Raw genomic sequence first — 19274 nt, forward strand, 5'->3', positions numbered from 1 at the left:
ACCCTGCAGAGTTTTTTTTTTTTTTGATTTTTTGGTTGTAGCTGAAATGTTATTACTCATGCCTAAACACGTGAATTTAACTCAAATATATTTTTTCACATGTTTTGCACAGGTGACACCCAGAATTATAGTTGAAAAATGTGGAGTCTTAGAGGCAATTTTTAAACTGTAAAGATTAAAAATAATAAAATACTAGAACATGTGCATGATCTGAGTGAACTAGACTGTAATACGTATGAATTTTTCATAAACATAAGTTCTTTCTAGATAAAATTTTGGGAAGGAATTCAAGCTTATACCTAATTTATAGCAACCATGTATGGAATTTGTAAGAAAGACCTTGGGAAAATATTTAACTGTCAGAAAAAGACTGATTTAATGCTTACTTAGGATTTAAAATACATTTGGCACCTTCAGTGTAAGTCAATTAACAGCAACTATATTCTGCAGTAACTCAACTGTCAGAGATAAAGCACCATTTAAAAATGGCGTCCACCTCTTAGAACACAAACATTTTATCTTCCAAATATTTCAACTAGCTAACTAATAGCAATAATTATTTTATGTGAATATCTGTTTATGTTTCACAATCCCAAATGATTATTAAGGGTGGAAAATTTTCAAGTTAGGCATGATTTTGGTTCTAATTAACAGCCTAAAAAGATAGCTAGCATCTTCTTTCCTTTGTCCTGGAGAAGACCCACTGGACTTTGAATTTAAAAAATAAAGTAGGCTGGGCGTGGTGCCTCATGCCTGTAATCCCAGCACTTTGGGAGGCCGAGGCGGGCAGATCACGAGGTCAGGAGTTCAAGACCAGCCTGACCAATATGGTGAAACCCCGTCTCTACTGAAAATACAAAAAAAAATTAGCCGGGCGTGGTGGCACCCCACCTTGTAGTCCCAGCTACTTGGGAGGCTGAGGCAGGAGAATCGCTTGAAGCTGGGAGGTGGAGGTTGCAGTGAGCCAAGATCGTGCCACTGCACTCCAGCTTGGGGGACACAGCAAGACTCCGTCTCAAAAAAAAATAAAAAATAAAAAAATCAAATAAACTAAGGAAGGCTATTCTTTTCCACACACCAATGACTTCTTCACTTTTCAGTAGCTCTCTTCAACTCAAAATCAAGCCTTCTCTAGCACACAGGATGAATGAATCACTTGAATTAAGAAATAACTTACATAGGCTGGGCGTGGTGGCTCATGTCTGTAATCTCAGCACTTGGGGAGGCCCTAGCTGGTGGATCACCTGAGATCAGTTCGAGACCAGCCTGGGCAACATGGTGAAACCCCATCTCCACAAAAATACAAAAATTAGCCAGGCCTAGTGGCACGTGCCTGTAGTCCCAGCTACTCGGGAGGCTGAGGCAGGAGAATCTCTTGAACCCGGGAGACGGAGGTTGCAGTGATCCAAGATGGTGCCACTGTACCAGCCTGGGTGATAGAGTGAGATTCCATATCAAAAAAGAAAGAAAAAAAGAAATAACTTATATAGTCATGTCTTTTAAGCTTGATGTAGGTAAAATTGAAAGAATTAACCCAAATTCGAAAATGGGAAGAAAATTGCTTATTGTGTTATTGACTTTTTGGATGATTTGTTTCTTCTGTTTACAGTTACCCAGATAATATCACTCCTGACACTGAAGATCCAGAACCAAAACCTATGATCATTGGCACCAATAATGTGTTTGAAGTTGGCTGTTGTATCCTTTACAATAATCTACCATAAATAATTCCTGGCTCTCCTTTAGTACCTAAGTCTTCTCCTGTAGAAATTGTAAATAATTCCTGGCTCTCCTTTAGTACCTAAGTCTTCTCCTGTAGAAATTGTAAAATTGTCATAATTTATCTATCAAACATACTTACATTCACAATATATATTATAATTACATTTTTAAAAGTAGGTCATCCAGGCTGGGTGCGGTGGCTCATGCCTGTAAATCCCAGCACTGTGGGAGGCCGAAGCTGGCGGATCACTTGAGGCCAGGAGTTCAAGACCAGCCTGGCCAACATGGTGAAACCCCATCTCTACTATTAAAAAAAAAAATTACAAGAATTAGCTGGGCACGGTGGTGCACGCCTGAAATTCCAGTTACTTGGGAGGCTGAGGCAAGAGAATCGCTTGAACTCGGGAGGCAGAGGTTGCAGTGAGCCAAGATTGTGCCACTGCACTCCAGCCTGGGTGACAGAGCAAGACTCCTTCTCAAAAGAGAATAAAAATAAAAATAAATAAAAGTAGGTCATCTAGCTCTTTGAACAGACTTCTTGAATAGTATATATTTTAAAAATGGTCCCTTCTGTTCCTGTAAATAAGTCAATAGAGTAAAATAAGTATGCCGTTTTTAGACAAACGCAGACACACACATATCTTTAGCTCAGCACTTTGAAAGAAACCACTTCTTTTGCTGGTACTACAGCTTGTTGACAGGTAGCAATGGCTGAGTGACAGTAAACATAGAAGCAGCAATGCTGGCTTCCTTCTTGATTCAAGAACCCCAGCTTTGTCAGTGTGGTTCCTCTGTAGTTTTAGGTAGACAATGCATTGTCTGATTCAAGAAAATGGTGTGTAGGGGTGAAAATATTCCATTATTCATGTGTTGTCTTTTTTCCTCCCTAGAATGTCTCCAGTTCTTTTGCTTAGTTTAGTACTCTAAAAAGATAGTAAAATCAGGGCAGGCACCGTGGTTCATGTCCGTAATCCCAGCATTTTGGGAGGCCGAGGCGGGCAGATCACCTGAGGTTGGGAGTTTGAGGCCAGCCTGACCAACGTGGAGAAACCCCGTCTCTACTAAAAATACAAAATTAGCCGGGCGTGATGGTACATGCCTGTAATCCCAGCTACTCGGGAGGCTGAGGCAGGAGAATCACTTGAACCCAGGAGGCGGAGATTGCGGTGAGCTGAGATCGCGCCATTGCACCCCAGCCTGGGCAATGAGCGAAACTCCGTCTCAAAAAGATTAAAAAAAAAAAAAAAAAAAAGATAGTAAAATCTTATGGTGTCAGCAAAACATACTATAGTAGAAAATATTTAGAAGGAAAAATCTAAATGTTCAATGATAGCAAGATATTTAAATAAATTGAACTATGAGCATAAAACCACTAGGAGCATTAAGCAGTCATTTAAAGTTATGTTTTTAAAGATTTTTTTTTTATTTTATCTTTTCTGAGACAGGCTCTTGCTCTGTCACCCAGGCTGGCATTGCAGTGGCACAATCATAGCTTACTGCAGCCTCAGCTCCCAGACTCAAGCAATCCTTCCATCTCAGCCTCCCAAGTAGCTGGAATTATAGGTGCACACCACCGTGCCCAGCTAATTTTATTTTTGGTAGAGATGGTGTCTCACTCTGTTGCCCAGGCTGGTCCTTGAACCCCTAGGCTCAAGCAATCCTCCCACCTTGGCCTCCCAGAGTGCTGGGGTTACAGATGTGAGCCACCCTGCCTGGCCTAAAGATTTTAATAGCGTGGAATAATGCTTGCAAATTTAAGTGAACTGAATAAGCTATAAAAGTTTATACAGTTTGATTCCCACTTATATACAGGAAATTCTATATATTTATATAAAGATATATCAAACTTTTAACAGTGTTTAAGTGATTGGGTGATGGATAGTTTTAATTATCTTGAAACAATTATGAAAATATTTTACTCATAAAATCAGGGTATAAGGTGCTCATTTCTTTAAAAACACAAGTCATTTATTTATACCTAGAGATACTTATGTTTAAAGATTAAACCGTTACCACAGATTGCCCAGAGCAAAGAGTTCTGGCAAGGGTGAGCCTGCATGGCCCATCTGACACCCCTGTCCTCTGTCCCAGTGCAATGTAAGTACATACTGTGTTAGTGGGGACTAAAGATGAACATATTTGTAGTATTTACCTAACTCTGGCTTACAGATTCCCAAGCCATGAAGATGGGAGATAATAATGTCATTGAATCAAAAGGTAAGCTACATTCAGAGTTTCATTGTCAAAGCAGTGACCTCTTTTCTCTTTGTGGTGTCCTGGGAAACAACCTAATAGAAACTGTGGCAAGGTGTTGTGCTTGGAAGTGGGCTACAATAGCTGGCGAACTAATTGTTTGCCACTAAGGAACCTAATCTGGTTATGTGGTTATCTGGTAATGTTAAATACATTAAATTTAAAATCAGCTATGTACAGGATTGAATTAAACCATAAACTTTAAATGAAAGATTTGGAAAAGATTTCTACTAAATACTAGTCTCTGAAATTTTAGTTGGTTAGTGTTGTTGTAGAATTAAAGGGGGGGAAAAATCAAAGTTTCTGTAGCAGTTGTTTTCTTTAATTTCAGGAATACTTTTCCCTAGCCAATCAGAAACAAATATCATGTGCTTGTAAGTGGGACCAGACAGGAGATTACCTAAAGTCACTGTCACTACTGGGAAGCAACTTCAAGAGCTTGTCCCACCAAGGTCCAGAAAAAACCTGAATGATGACAATTCTTTAGAATAGTGGGTTATCTTTCTTGGTCCTGAGTGGCACGAAAGAAAATGCTTCTTTTTAAAATAATAAAATTACACTTTTTGTTAATCTACTTAATGACTTTTATTTTAATTTGGATTATCAATTATCACTATTATCATCAGCATTTTCTATTTATTTTATGCTTACTGTGTGTCAAACCTGTGCTCATCACTTTACATCTGTTATCACATTTATTCCTTAAACTGTGAAGTAGAGTGGCCTCTTTGTTTTATAGATGAACTTGAGCTTAGAGACTTTGCAGCGACTTTCCCAAGGTCACACAAATAGCAGCAGAGCTCCATTTTGAATTCATCTGACCCTGGCTTGTACTGCCTGCCTCTGTGTTGTCCATACAAACTCCAAACTGATGTATTTTCTTTAACTTTTTTCTTGAGGCCAGTTTACATTTTTATACCTAAATCACCTTAAGAAAAAAAGTGTTGGAATCATTTGATGTCTTAAGTTGCAGTTCTTTCTGTGTTTTTATTGCAGCATATGTAGGCAGAAATGTAATATTGACAAGTGGCTGCATCATTGGGGCTTGTTGCAACCTAAATACATTTGAAGTCATCCCTGAGAATACGGTGATCTATGGTGCAGACTGCCTTCGTCGGGTGCAGACTGAGCGACCGCAGGTACTAGAACCTCTCTTTAAAAAGAGTTCTATCTGCTGATTTTCCCAAAATACAATGTAATTGTCTTCATGAGGCAGCAGGTACACTATTTAAGAACATAATTAAAATAAAACAAAAGATGCCAGTCTCAGTGACTCGTGCCTGGAATTCTAGCACTTTGGGAGGCCGAGGCAGGAGGATGACTTGAGGGCAGGAATTTAAGAGCAGCCTGGGCAACATAGTGAGACTCTGTCTCTACAAACACTAGAAAAACTAAGCCAGGTGTGGTGGGGCATGACTATAGTCCAGCTACTGAGGAGGCTGAGGTGGGAAGATAATTCTTGAGTGTGAGGTTACCATGAGCCATGATCATGCCACTGCACTCCAGCCTGAGCAACAGAGACCCCAACTCAAAAAATAAATAAATAAAAAGAAAACAATGAGAAACATCCCGAAAACCAGGATTTAATTGCAGTTCAATCCCTAAAACCAAGATTTAATTGCAGTTCAATTATTTAGTCTTTAGGTTAATATCAAAAATATATACAAGGATGACAATGACAAGTCAGTTATGAGAAAAGATCCAGAAATGTTACTCTTGGTCTCATGCATTGTCACTGACAATGCATAAACAAACTGTACAAGCCATATTGATTTACTCCTAAAATATCAGTCTTCAAGGTTAAGGAATGACCATACTACATTTATCCTGTGCCTCTAACTGGGGTGTGTCTATTTATTGCCATAGCTTCATAATAAACACAGCTTGTGAATAAGAAACTGTGTTTGGATATTTTCCTGGCTTGAGAAATTATCTCCTCCTAGAAATTCAGATCAAGAATAATGTAGAGTACATATTTGGAGTTTAATATTAGAGTAGGAGATGAAAAAGATAGGACATTTGGGCTTCCTTTGGACATAAGACATTTGTATTGCAGTTTCGAGCCTCATTGCTTGGCACATTCAATATATATTTCTTTAGTTACCTAGCCTCCTTTTCCTCCCACTAAAGAAAATAGTTTCAAGCACTGTGCGAGGCCAAGGCGGGCGGATCACTTGAGCCCAGGAAGGAGTTTAAGACCAGCCTGGGCAACATCATGAGACCCCATCTCTACAAAAAATAAAAAATAATTAGTTGGGCATGGTGGCATTCACCTGTAGTCCCAGCTACTTTGGAGGCTGAGGTGGGAGGATCGCTTGAGCCCAGGAGGTCAGGGCTGCAGTAAGCTGTTTGTACCACTGCACTCCAGCCTGGGAAAGAAAAAAAAAAAAAAGAATAGTTTCAAGACATAACTTTGCTTCTGATTCTTAGCCATATTTTATCAGAAATCAAAACTCCAGTTCTTTTTGGGTTACTCTATTTCTGTAATGTTTGGCTTCATTATTATTATTATTATTTTAAGCAAGTATTACTCTATAGACTAAAAAGGAAATAAGGTCAAATCCAGTCATTTGTTTTACTTTCTACATAACAGCAAAAATGACTGAAGAGTGGGAAATGAAGCTTGTGTTGGGGAAGGGAGATTAGAATTAAGTGAGCAAGAATATCTGAAGCTTTATATTTTATAATATGCCTAAATTTCACTAATCATAAGGATTATGTAGAGGTCTTTATTCAAAATAAAGATTCCCCAGACTTACTGAGTCACAGTGCTAGGGCAGGGGCCTAAAAATCTATATTTTTCACAAGTACCGCAGTGAGTTTTACAATCAGGAAAATCTGGGCAGTACTGGTATATGAAGAGTGAAGATCAGACAGATGTAACCAACAAGTACACCTCAGCTGTGTGGCTCTGTAGGTCACGTGGAAAACAAAATACTCTGGGTGTTTTACTTATGTGGTCTTCTGTAATCGGAACTTTTAACTTTTCAGAAGCCAGGGTGAAATCTACAAAAGCGAGTTTTAAAACTGATTTCTGTATATTTTTATATAAATATATAAAATCTGTTGGCTTTTTCTTGTAACCAAACTTAGTATATGTTCCTTATAAATTAAAAAAAAAAACAAGCATGTAAGCAAAAATGAGTCAATGAAAAGCACCTGTAATTCCACAACTTATTAATAACCATTGCTACCTGGAACTTTTTTTTTTTTTTCTTTGAGACAGGGTCTGGCTCTGTCACCCAGGCTGGAGTGCAGTGGTGTAATCATGGCTCACTGCAGCCTCAACCTCCTGGGCTCAAACAATCCACCTGCACCCCTGCCGCCCTGCTTCCACCTCAGCCTCCTGAGTAGCTATGACTACAGGGGTGTGCCACCACACACAGCTAATTTTTAAATTTTTTTAGTGACAAGATCTCCCTATGTTGCTCAGGCTGTTCTGGAACTCCTGAGCTCAAATCATCCTCCTGTCTGGGCCTCCCAAAGTGCTGAGATTACAGGCATGACCCACCACGCCTGGTTGCTGTGTGGTACTCTTGACTTTGCTTTCTGCCAATCGGCCTTAATTACCTTATCTTTTTAGCCCCAGACACTACAGCTGGATTTCTTGATGAAAATCTTGCCAAATTACCACCACCTAAAGAAGACTATGAAAGGAAGCTCAACTCCAGTAAAGAACTAAGAACAGTGTATAACATGAAGATAACATTTTGTCTTTGACCACTGTCTTTTGAATGGGCCCACAGTGTTTATGTACTCTTAACAACTCACAGAATAATACATGTTCACTTTATTTTGTAAAATTGGGTTGAGAGGAAACTAATGGAGTTTCATTGTAACTGTCCTTTGTAATTTATATAAATGTATTATTTTCCTATATCCTTGGTTCTTTTCTGATAATTTACAGATTTAGCTTTTCTTTTGTTATATAAACTGCTAGCCACAAATTTTAGTTATGTAAAAGGCTACCCTTGACAAGAAAAGACATACTGTCATGTATTTATATTCTAGCATAGACTAAACTGAATAAAAATGCTGATAACAGGACCTTTAGTAAGCATACTTTAATCAGTTTTTCTCCTTGAATTAATCTTTTCTCTTAATTTTTATTATGTACTAGTTGTATTAAAGCTAATGTGTTTACTTTTTCCTCTTGTGGATTTGTAGCTGTTTAAAATTTCAGGTGAATTTCAGTAGCTATTGAATTAATTTAGACTTCACTTTGTTTTTAAGAAAAGTACAATTTTTTCTTTTTGGTAAAACAAAAGTAATCAGGGAAAGATGTTTTCAGTAGAATACAAATTAGTGGCATTCTTGGGTTTCTGAGGACAATGAAACTAAAAGAAATTTTGAAATTATACAAATTTATGAAATTATTAATATTTTAGCATAGTGCTAATCACTAATCATTGAGCTTTATTATTCTGTTGTCTATGTAGTGAGCAAAATGTTGAGAATTTTATAATTCCAAATTTTTAAAATAATTCAAGTGCATAAATTTACTGGAACATACTTCTCAACTTTTGAATTAGTAGATATTGACTAATACTAAGATACTAAAATACTAAGATATTCTCTCAAAATTTAATTTTTATTTATTTATTTTAGAGACAAGGATCTCACTCTATTACCTAGGCTGGAGTGCAGTGGCACAGTCTGCTCACATGGATCACTTGACCTCCTCAAACTCAAGTGATCCTCCCGCCTCAGCCTCTTGAGTAGTTGGGACTATAGGCATAAGCCACCATGCCTAGCTTTTTTATTTTTTTTAACTTTTTGTGGAGACAGGATCTCGCTGTGTTGCCCAGGCTGGTCTCAAACTCCTGACTCAAAATTTAATTTTTAATTGTGAATAGAAAAAAATATATTTTTGAATTTCTGAAACTGACAGTGCAAATTAGCGTAATCATTCGAAATTGGAATGATTTTGGTAAGAATACTCATGACTAAACTTGGAAAACTATACTGTAGCAGATGAAACATTGAGCTTTTGAAAAGGAGAACATAAATACCCTATTTCTGTTAACTGCTATTTATTCATTTTTCAACCCCCTGGTGATCAGTTCAGAATGTTGTTGATCATGGAAATTTTCTAGATAAAAGAAATGAGAAATTACAAGACAGTCTTTGAAATTCTTTACTGGTTCTAATGTATTCTCTTTGGACAGGCTCTGATATGCTAAGTAAATGGCCTCTCCAAACTACACAGGTACTATGTGGGGCAGCAGTGAGATACCTTCTAAGGACTTGATAAGAAGAAACCACCAGAGAGTCTACACATAGTGAGGAGAGTCTCAATGCTTCCCAGGTACACTGTAGGTTATTACATGATATTAACTCATTTGAGAAAAGAAAACCGAAATTATCAACTCACCAAAATGGGGTTTGAAGAAACAAAATATGACAGTGTGTATACAGTGTTATCCGTGAAAAGGAAGTCCTGCATCCAAGAGATGTGAGTAATTCAGTGACCAAAAGTGTTCTCTACTTCAGTTAGGACTAGTTTATCAAGACCCAAGGTATGTGGCTTAGGGAGAACATACCTTGAGACTTGCCACTTCTTTTGGCACTAATTACAAGCCTAACTGAACCATCTTCTGATTGTTGATATGGCCTTTTAAGCTATTGTTGTTCAGGAAAAGGGAGAATTCTGCATGAGGGCACCAACATTTCATTCTGCACATAGTAAATTTAGAGAAATTCTCTGGTTTATATGTCAGTCTCATGTGAATTTTGTGTGTGTGGTTCTGCCCCCAAGTTTGTCAGTTTAGCCTATGAGTTTCTAAATATTCTGATGAAACATAGTTTCTGATTCTTCAGGATAGAGAACCAAAGCCCGGACAGATTATTGCAAACTTCACTCTTTGGGGCTTCTGCATAGCCAGGCTGTCAGCCTTCTTCTAGTGGCACTCTATCTCACTTGAGACTACACTCAAACTGCATCCCAAATATTCTAGACAAATAAGCTAAGTGGTAAGGAGAACCCAGACATCCATGTGACATGAGGTAGTAACTGGGCAGGGAAAAGAGAGAAACCATTTTATCAAATCATCTTATTGCAATCTGGCACTAGCTCTTCGGGCAAGATGATGGATCTTCACCAGTTGAACAGTGTAAGGTCTAGAAACAGTGATGAAACTTCACTTCATCCATAAGCACACACTGTAGTAGTTATGTATGCTGTGTAACAAATTACCCCCAAAACTAAAACAACACACATCTTATTAGCTCACTCAGTTTCTGAGAATCAAGAATCTGTGTGTGGCTTAGCTGATGCTGGGGCTGCAGTATTCATTTCCAAGATGGCACACTAACATGGTTGTTGCCCGAAGGCCTCAGTTCATCATCACATGAGCCTCTCTACAAGGCTACCTGGGTGTTCTCTTGACATGGCAGTTGGCTTTCTCCATAATGAGTGATCCCAGAGAGGATGGAAGCCACAAGGCCTTTCATGACCCAGTCTCTGAAGTTGCACACGATCATTTCCAATGAATTTGATTTGTTAGAAGTGAGTCACTAAGTCCATTCTACACTGAAGGGATGGGGAATTAAGCTGTACCTTTTGAAGGCAATAGCATCAAAGAGTTCATGCTCATATTTTTATTTTTTATTTTATTTATTTATTTATTTATTTATTTATTTTGAGACAGAGTCTTGCTCTGTCACCCGGGCTGCAGTGCAGTGGCACGATCTCAGCCCACTGCAGCCTCTGCCTCCCAGGTTCTAATGATTCTCCTGCCTCAGCCTCCTGAGTAACTGGGACTACAGGTGTGTGCCACCATGCCTGGCTAATTTTCGTATTTTTAATAGACAGGGTTTCACCATTTTGCCCAGGCTGGTCTCGAACTCCTGACCTCGGGTGATCCACCTGCCTCAGCCTCCCAAAGTGCTGGGATTACAGGCGTGAGCCACTGTGCCCAGCCCATGCTCATATTTTTAAACTCCAGCATGTATGTACACATCCATTTACATCTGGGTTTCTCCCAGTGCACTATCAGCATCTCTTTAGAGAGTCTCCACACTGGGAGGAAGATGACTTTGGGAAGGACTGCTGTATATTAATTGCCATGGCACATGACGTCATCAAAGGTCATCTTACCCACTTGAAGCCCCATTATGTAGTGTTTTCTGACATCAAATGTGTGGTTTTTCCAACACCAGCAACCGATTCTCCAACACCAACTGAATGTCCAGCAATTCAGAACAGTTCTGGTGCTATCTGGAGTTAGCCCAGACCCCACACTCCCATAAAACTACACCCACTTCATTTGCCAGCATCAAATAGGGTACCCAAACTACCCATACTTCTGCCCACCCCAACTCCAAATTAGGGTATTCCCATGATCCTTCAGGCTCAATAATTCTCTAGAATGACTCAGAGAACTCAGGAAAGTGTGTATTTACTACTGCAGATGTATTACAAGGGTACAACTCAGGAACAGCTGAAAGCAAGAAGTACCAAGGCCATGGGATGGGATGGAATGGCACAGGGTTTCCATTCCTTCTTTGAGCACGTCAGCCTCCCAGCACAGCACCAGCCTGGAAGCTTTCCAAATCTAATCATTCAGGAGTTTTTATGATCCGGTCTGTAGCCCCTCTAACCTCCCTGGAGTTTGTGGGTCAGGGCTGAGAGTTCTGATCCTCTAGCCCTATGTTCTCATTAGCATACAAAAGACAGTACATTCCGGCCAGGCATGGTGACTCATGCCTGCAATCCCAGCACTTTGGGAGATTGAGGTGGGCAGATAACTTGACGTCAGGAGTTCAAGACCAGCCTGGCTGACATGGTGAAACCCCATCTCTACTAAAAATACAAAAATTAGCCAGGCATGGTGGTGGGCACCTGTAATCCCAACTACTTGGGAGGCTGAGGCAGAATTGTTTGAACTCGGGAGGCAGAGGTTGCAGTGAGCCAAGATGGCACCACTGCACTCCCCCTGAGAGCAAGACTCCGTCTCAAGAAAAAAAAAAAAAAAAACCCAGTAATTTCCAAGGGTCTGAGAAGCTCTGTGCCAGGGACCAGGGACAAAGACCAAATATTTTTTATTTTGCCACATCTATCTTCTTAGCAATTTAGATTACTTTCCCTTAAATATAACAAATTCCATTAAGCATCAGTTTAAGTTGAGGCGTAACAGAAATTATTATTAGCAAAAACCTTGAGAGATAAGAATACTAAGCGGGAGAAATAATAGAAGAACTATTTTAACCCTAATATACTTTGTCAAGTCTGACTTTTTTAAAAATCGCATTTATTAAGCTTGCATAGAGCTGACTACATGCCAAGCACTGTTAAAAGCAGTTTACGTGTAACTTGTTAATTGCACATTATTTCCTTTAATTGTCTTAATCAGGTAGGTGATATTACTATCCTTATTTTGCAGAAATTGAGGCACAAAGAGGTTAAGTAATTGCCAGAGGTCCACTCAGCTAGTAAGTGGCATTTTGGCTCCAGAGTTCATGATCTTAAGCATATTCTCTGTTGCTTTATTGGAAGACTAAACCTTTTAAGATAGATATTCTATAATTCAGTGGGCTTCCTAAATACAAATGGAGAAAACAGATGTGGATTCACCTTTCCTAAACGCTTTGCCTCTCTTTAAATTCTTCAACTGAGTGATCCTCTCTGGGATCACTCATATTCTGGAAAAAGCCAACTGCCATGTCAAGAGAACACCCAGGTAGCCTTGTAGAGAGGCTCATGTGATGATGAACTGAGGCCTTCGGGCAACAACCATGTTAGTGTGCCATCTTGGAAATGAATACTGCAGCCCCAGCATCAGCTAAGCCACATGCAGATTCCTGATTCTCAGAAACTGAGTGAGCTGGGATTACAGGTGTGAGCCATTGTGCCCAGTCTGGGTCTGCTTGTTATAACTAATTAACTGTAGTGGTAATTTGTGGTGGTGTTTTGTTCTGTTTTTTTAGTGTGTGTGTGTTTTACTGGTAAAAGTAATACATTAATAATTTCATTTTACACAGTTTAGGAGGTGGGGAGAAAACACTTCTGATTCCATGGCCCCACCTCAAGCACCACCATTTGAATCATTTTGGGGCTAATTTTTAATGTGCAATCCAAGGTGAATGAAGATCTCTCAGACACATGCACCTTAAAGCTTCATAATTCTCATGTAGACCTGCTGTTTTAACACAAGAGGGCACCAGTAGACAGGATAGTCCCCCCATAGTGTCTAGCAAATGGGTGCTCTTGGAGAGTTTTATTTATTTATTTTTATTTGAAGACAGGGGCTGGCTCTGTTACCCAGGCTGGAAAACACAACTCACTGCACCCTCAACCTCCTGGGCTCAAGCAATCCTCCTGCCTCAGCCTCCTGAGAAGCTGGGACCACAGGCTTGTGCTACCAGGCCCAGCTAATTTTTAAATTTTTTTTTGTGGAGATGGAGTCTCCCTATGTTTCCCAGGATGATCTCGAACTCCTGGGCTCAAGTTGTCCACCTGCCTGGGCCTCCCAAAGTGCTGGGATTACAGGCATGAGCCATCGCTCTTTCTGACCCATTTTAAGGATACTTTAGACTTTAATACTTTATTAAACAAAACTAGGAGCAGTTCCTTTCTTGTCTCCTTTAAAGGGTGTTGTATTTAAATATTTTAGAACATTTAGCTGGGACTAGGTTCATGACACTAAACACATGCAAATGGAGGCTCAGGCTTTGAGAAGAGAATCATTGTCAGGCCCACTAGAGACCCAGCCAAGAATGGATTGATTGCCCAAGCCTTCATTGTCAGCATCCCTCTCCACAGGGTTTCAGCATTGCTCACCTTCATGAAAGTTTGGTGCTAAGTCCCTGAATTTAGACTTTCTTTTTTCCTTTTTAAAATTTTCAGTGACAGGGACTCACCATGTTGACCAGGCTGCTCTTGAACTCCTGGACTCAAGCCACCCTCCTGCCTCAGCCTCCCAGCGTGCTGGGATTACAGGCATGAGCCACCATGGCCTGCCTAGATTTTCCATTTCTTAAACTAACTCAGCTTTCATTAGCTACCTATATGGTTCAGACTTTTGAGCCAGTCTCTGCTCTCGGTGAAAAATAATGCCGGATGTTCAGAACCCAAATTTCCCCTACTATGAAGTCGTCTGCTCCTTGGTAGGCTAATCACTGCTCTCTCTGAGTTGTATGCTTTCCAAAAATCAGTTGTATTTGGCCGGGCATGGTGGCTCATGCCTGTTATCCCAGCACTTTGGGAGGCTGAGGTGGGCAGATCACTTGAGGACAGTCCAAGACCAGCCTGCCAACATGATGAAACCCCATCTCCACTAAAAATACAAAAGTTAGCTGGGCATGGTAGTGGGCCCCTGTAATCCCAGCTACTCAGGAGGCTGAGGCAGGAGAATTCTTTGAGCCTAGGAGGCGGGGGCTGCAGTAAGCCAAGACTGTGCTGCTGCACTCCTGCCTGGGCAACAGAGCAAGACTCCATCTCAAAAAAAAAAAAAAAAATCAGTTGTATTTGTTCCAAAACTTGTTTTTGCAAGTTGTACTTAATAACGATGTAATTTAATTCAATATTACCAAAATCAAACAATTATGAGTGTGAAGAGAGTAATCTCTATGAAAAAAAGTTGAAAACTTGGGAAAGACCTGATAAAAGACGTGTTATTAAAGAAAAAAATGCTGTGGAATTAGGTGTGGGTAAAGCAACCGTGAATGTTTGGGAGGGAGAGAAAAGTGTCAAAATATAGGACTTTGCCTTCATTTTGTTTCACAAGTGTCTTGAGTCCTCATTCTACTAAAGCTGAAATTGATAATGCTTCTTGCTGTGCTAATCAATGTCCTCTGTGCAGCCTGCATCAGCAGGCCCACACGCAAAGAAAAGGTCTTATCCTGACATCAAAGGAGTGATGGGTAGATAAACCTGTTTATATTTTAAATTAAAAATAAAATTTTGAAGATATATATAATAATTTTATGAAGCCCCATATAGCTGACTTTTTTCTTTAACCAACCAACTACAGATTCTGACTGCGTAGTTAGGATGGCCGGGTGCAGTAGCTCACACCTGTAATCCCAGCGCTTTGGGAGGCTGAGGTGGGTGGATTGCTTCAGCCCAGGAGTTTGAGACCAGCCAGACCTCATCTTTATTAAAAAAAGAAGAAGAAGAAGAAGAAGAAGAAGAATCAGAATTTCTGCAGTATAGTTCCAGGAGCTGCCAAACAGTGGTATAAGGAAATGAATTGCCTGGGCCTCAACATATCCTCAGTGTCAGTGACACATGTATACTTTCAAATGAATAACCTCTTTTTATGAAGATTATACTTTGGCATCCCTTATCTGTAGGCTAGCTGTGCTTGATTTTAGTAGAATAGATTTTTAGGACTTAATCATCATTAATGTATCTGTATTAGTCCGTTTTCACACTGCTGATGAAGACATACCGGAGAATGGGCAATTTACAAAAGAAAGAGGTTGACTGGACTTACAGTTCCACGTGGCTGGAAGGCCTCACAATCATGGCAGAAGGTGAAAGGCATATCTCACATGGTGGCAGACAAGAAAAGAGGGCTTGTGCAGGGAAACTCCCGTTTTTAAAACCATCGGATCTTGTGAGACTGAGACCAAGACCAACTCACTATCACAAGAACAGAACAGGAAAGAGTCACCCCCATGATTCAATCACCTCCCACCAGGTTTCTCCCACAACATGTGGGAATTGTGGGAGTTGCAATTCAAGATGAGATTTAGGTGGAGACACAGCCAAACCATATCAGTATCTACACTTGTTTGTTCAGAGAACAATTTCAAGTCTGTCAGCTTATCCTGCAACTGTGCCTAAAATATGTTCCTTTTTTACTTAAGGCTACCTGGCACTGCTGTAGATGTGTAATATATTTTGCTTAAATGCTTAGCATGAAAGGGAAGACTTCCACTTTTGGTTGCTGTAACCCGTGAACTTTCGCCATTATGTTCAGTAGACTTTGTAATCAGAAAAAAAAAAATGACCATATTGAATCCCAGATGGCATTCTTTTTTTTTTTTTCTTTTTTTAAGAAAGGGTCTCACTGTGTCACTCAGGCTGAAGTGCAGTGTCACTATCATGGCTCACTGCAGCTTTGACCTCCCAGGTTCACATGATCCTTCCACGTCAGCCTCCCAATTAGCTGGGACTACAGGCATGCACAACCATGTCCAGTTCATTTTTAAATTTTTTTTTGTAGAGACGAGATCTCCCTATGTTGCCCAGACTGATCTCGAACTCCTGGGCTCAAGCTATACTCCTGCATTGGCCTCCCAAAGTGCTGGGATTACAGGTGTGAGCCACAGCACCCTGCCCCAGATGGCATTCTTTACATTCTAACTTTATCATAATGCAAATAGAAACATTAAAAAGCTCTTTACTAAGTTATAATTATTAAATTTTGTTTGTCCCACGTAAAATCAAGTGCATTTTCAGTTTTGAACACTGAAAATGAAGGGTGAAATCTCTCATGTTGGAAATGATATTTTGCTAAGGCTGCCTTCCTCTTTTTGCAAGATATGTGGCCCCTTCTGTATGTTTAAAGCTCTGCACCAAAGAAGAGACATATGAGATCAAGGACAAGCTTCTGTCTTTCATGTCTTGGTCCATTTAAGCTGCTGTAACAAAATGCCATAGACTGAGGGGCTTAAACAATAGAAATTTATTTCTCACAGTTCTGGAGGCTGGGAAGTCCAAGATCAAGGTGCTGGTAGATTTGATATCTGGTGAAGGCCATCTTTTTACTGTGCCCTCACATGGCAAAAGGGGCAAACAATCTTCCTTGGGCCTCTTTTATAAGGATGCTAATCCCATTCATGAGGGCTTCATCCTCATGACCTGATCATCTCCCAAAGGCCCCACCTTCCTTTTTTTTTTTTTTTTTTTTTTTTTTTGAGATGAAATTTCACTCTTGTCCCCCAGGCTGGAGTGCAACAGTGCAATCTCGGCTCACTGCAACCTCCACCTCCCAGGTTCAAGTGATTATCCTGCCTCAGCCTCCCAAGTAGCTGGGATTACAGGCATGTGCCACCACACCTGGCTAATTTTTTGTATTTTTAGGAGAGACGGAGTTTCACCATGTTGGCCAGGCTGGTCTTGAACTCCTGACCTCAGGTGATCCACCTGCCTCGGCCTCCCAAAGTGCTGAGATTACAGATGTGAGCCACCGTGCCTGGCCTAGTCCCCACTTTCTAATACCACCATCATGGGGATGGAATTTCAAACATAAATTTGGGGGATGGGACACAGATTCAGACCATAGCACATCACTTTCTTCTTCCTAACAGATCTTCAATTTTGTTCAACTATCCACCCATCCATGGATTGACTTTAATCAGTCCATTCCAATGAATATTTGGCCTTTCTCTGATCCACAGGTGCATGTATAATTTGCCTAATACAAGCTAAGGGAAGAACATATTTCATAGTTGGGGGAGGTTTTCCTTCTTCCACTGGATGTGAATAGGGGAACATGCTGCCTGTTTGGAACTGGCAGCCACCTTACCACCATGAGGGGAAGCAACAAAATGCAAAGATATAAAAAATATAGATGCTTCAAGACATGGCTGAACCCAAACTTAGAGCCTAGTCCTTGTAGATAATACATTTTCTCCCTATTTAAGCGAGAGTGAACTGCGTTGTCTGTGACTTGCAGAAATTTTGTGTCCTGTTACAAAATATCAAAAAGTTGCCTCAATTTTCTAGTGTCCTGCTCTACTGATGCAGTAAGCATCTGCCTGGTCCCAACATTGCTGGCTGCTGTAGGGATGGTTAACTGAAAAGGGGCAAGAGCATATTATACATGTACAGTCACACACTGCATAACAACGTTTCAGTCAATGACAGACCACATGTATGACAGTGGTCTCATAAGATTATAATGGAGCTGAAAAATGCTTATCACCAAGTGATGTCATAGCCATTGGAACATCATAGTGCAACACATTACTCATGTGTTGTGGCAATGCTGGTGTAAACAAACCTACTGTGCTGCTAGTTGTATAGAAGTATAGTAGTTATCATTGTGTTACAATCACCTATAGTATTCAGAGCAGTAATGTGCAGTACAGGTTTGTAGCCTAGGAGCAATGGGCTATAGCCTAGATATATAGTAGGATATATCATCTAGTTTGTGTAAGTACACTCTGTGATATTCATACAATGATGAAATTGCCTAATGATACATTTCTCAGAACTCATCCCCATTGTTAAGTGACACATGATTGTAGATATGAAGCCAGAGAAAAAGCTTTGTTTAACAAGAGATAATGGCAGCTTTGGGATGTGGCAATAAAGATATGGACAAGTGGAAAAATTAAAGATGTAATTAAGAGACAAAACTGATAAGATTCAGGGATGAACTAAATACTAAGGGAAGGGAGAGACAGGTGGCAAGCATGACCCTAGGAGTTTCTATTTTGCATAAGTAGATGGATAGTGATACACTCACTAAGCTCCAGAGATCACCAGAACAGAGAAGGTTTAATATTGAAGAACAAGAATTTGATGTTTGCCAGGCGCAGTGGCTCATGCCTGTAATCCCAGTACTTTGGGAGGCTGATGTCGTGGATCATGAGGTCAGGAGTCCGAGACCAGCCTGATCAACACGGTGAGACTCCGTAAAAATACAAAAATTAGCCGAGTGTGGTGGTACATGCCTGTAATCCCATCTACTCAGGAGGCTGAGGCAGGAGAATCGCTTGAACCCGGGAGGCAGAGGTTGCAGTGAGCCGAGATCATGCCGCTTGCACTCCAGCATGGGTTACAAAGCAAGACTCCATCTCAAAAAAAAAAATAAAAAATTGATGTTTGACACACTGAATTTGAGATACCTTTGAAGTATCCAGTTTAGATTTTTCTATAACAGCTTGATTAATATATAATTTACCTTTTAAAAAATTATCTGGTTTTTAATATATTCAGAGTTATGCAACCATCATTTCTATCTAAATTATTTTTTAATATTTTCATCACTCCAAAAAGAAAATTTCATATCCTTTAGCAGTCATTTCCTATTCTCCCTTCCTCCTAACCCCTGGCAACCACCAAGCTGCTTTTCTGTCTCTAATGCTGGCCTTGGATTCGGCCTTCATGAGCTGTAATGGCTTTCCCTGGTGGCATCCATTAGAATATTTAAGGTGACAATTTTTTTTTTCCCATTCTGGGAGCCAACCACTTCAAAAAATCTTTGTCAGGTCACTGATGACTCTATAGATAGTAGAACAGAAACCTCAGTGGCCAAACGCAACTGTGAATACACACTTTGCAAAAAAAAAAAAAATAGTTTGAAAAAATCAGTTAACTAGTGGACAGCAGCAGCCTTCAA

At 40.0% G+C, this 19274-nt stretch overlaps 1 protein-coding gene across 1 annotated transcript in view; it reads left to right on the forward strand.

The window, feature by feature from the left end:
• Positions 1-8123, forward strand: part of DCTN6 (dynactin subunit 6) — a 27271-nt gene extending 19148 nt beyond the window's left edge. The window contains exons 4-7 of the mRNA NM_006571.4: positions 1610-1698; positions 3892-3939; positions 4972-5114; positions 7559-8123. Coding sequence (NP_006562.1) covers positions 1610-1698; positions 3892-3939; positions 4972-5114; positions 7559-7657 — 379 coding nt within the window. The 3' untranslated portion in view covers positions 7658-8123. The remainder of the gene's footprint in view (positions 1-1609; positions 1699-3891; positions 3940-4971; positions 5115-7558) is intronic.
• The last annotated feature ends 11151 nt before the right edge of the window (positions 8124-19274 follow it).

This window comes from Homo sapiens, chromosome 8, assembly GCF_000001405.40.
Source record: "Homo sapiens chromosome 8, GRCh38.p14 Primary Assembly".
In the NCBI taxonomy this organism is placed as follows: domain Eukaryota; kingdom Metazoa; phylum Chordata; class Mammalia; order Primates; family Hominidae; genus Homo; species Homo sapiens.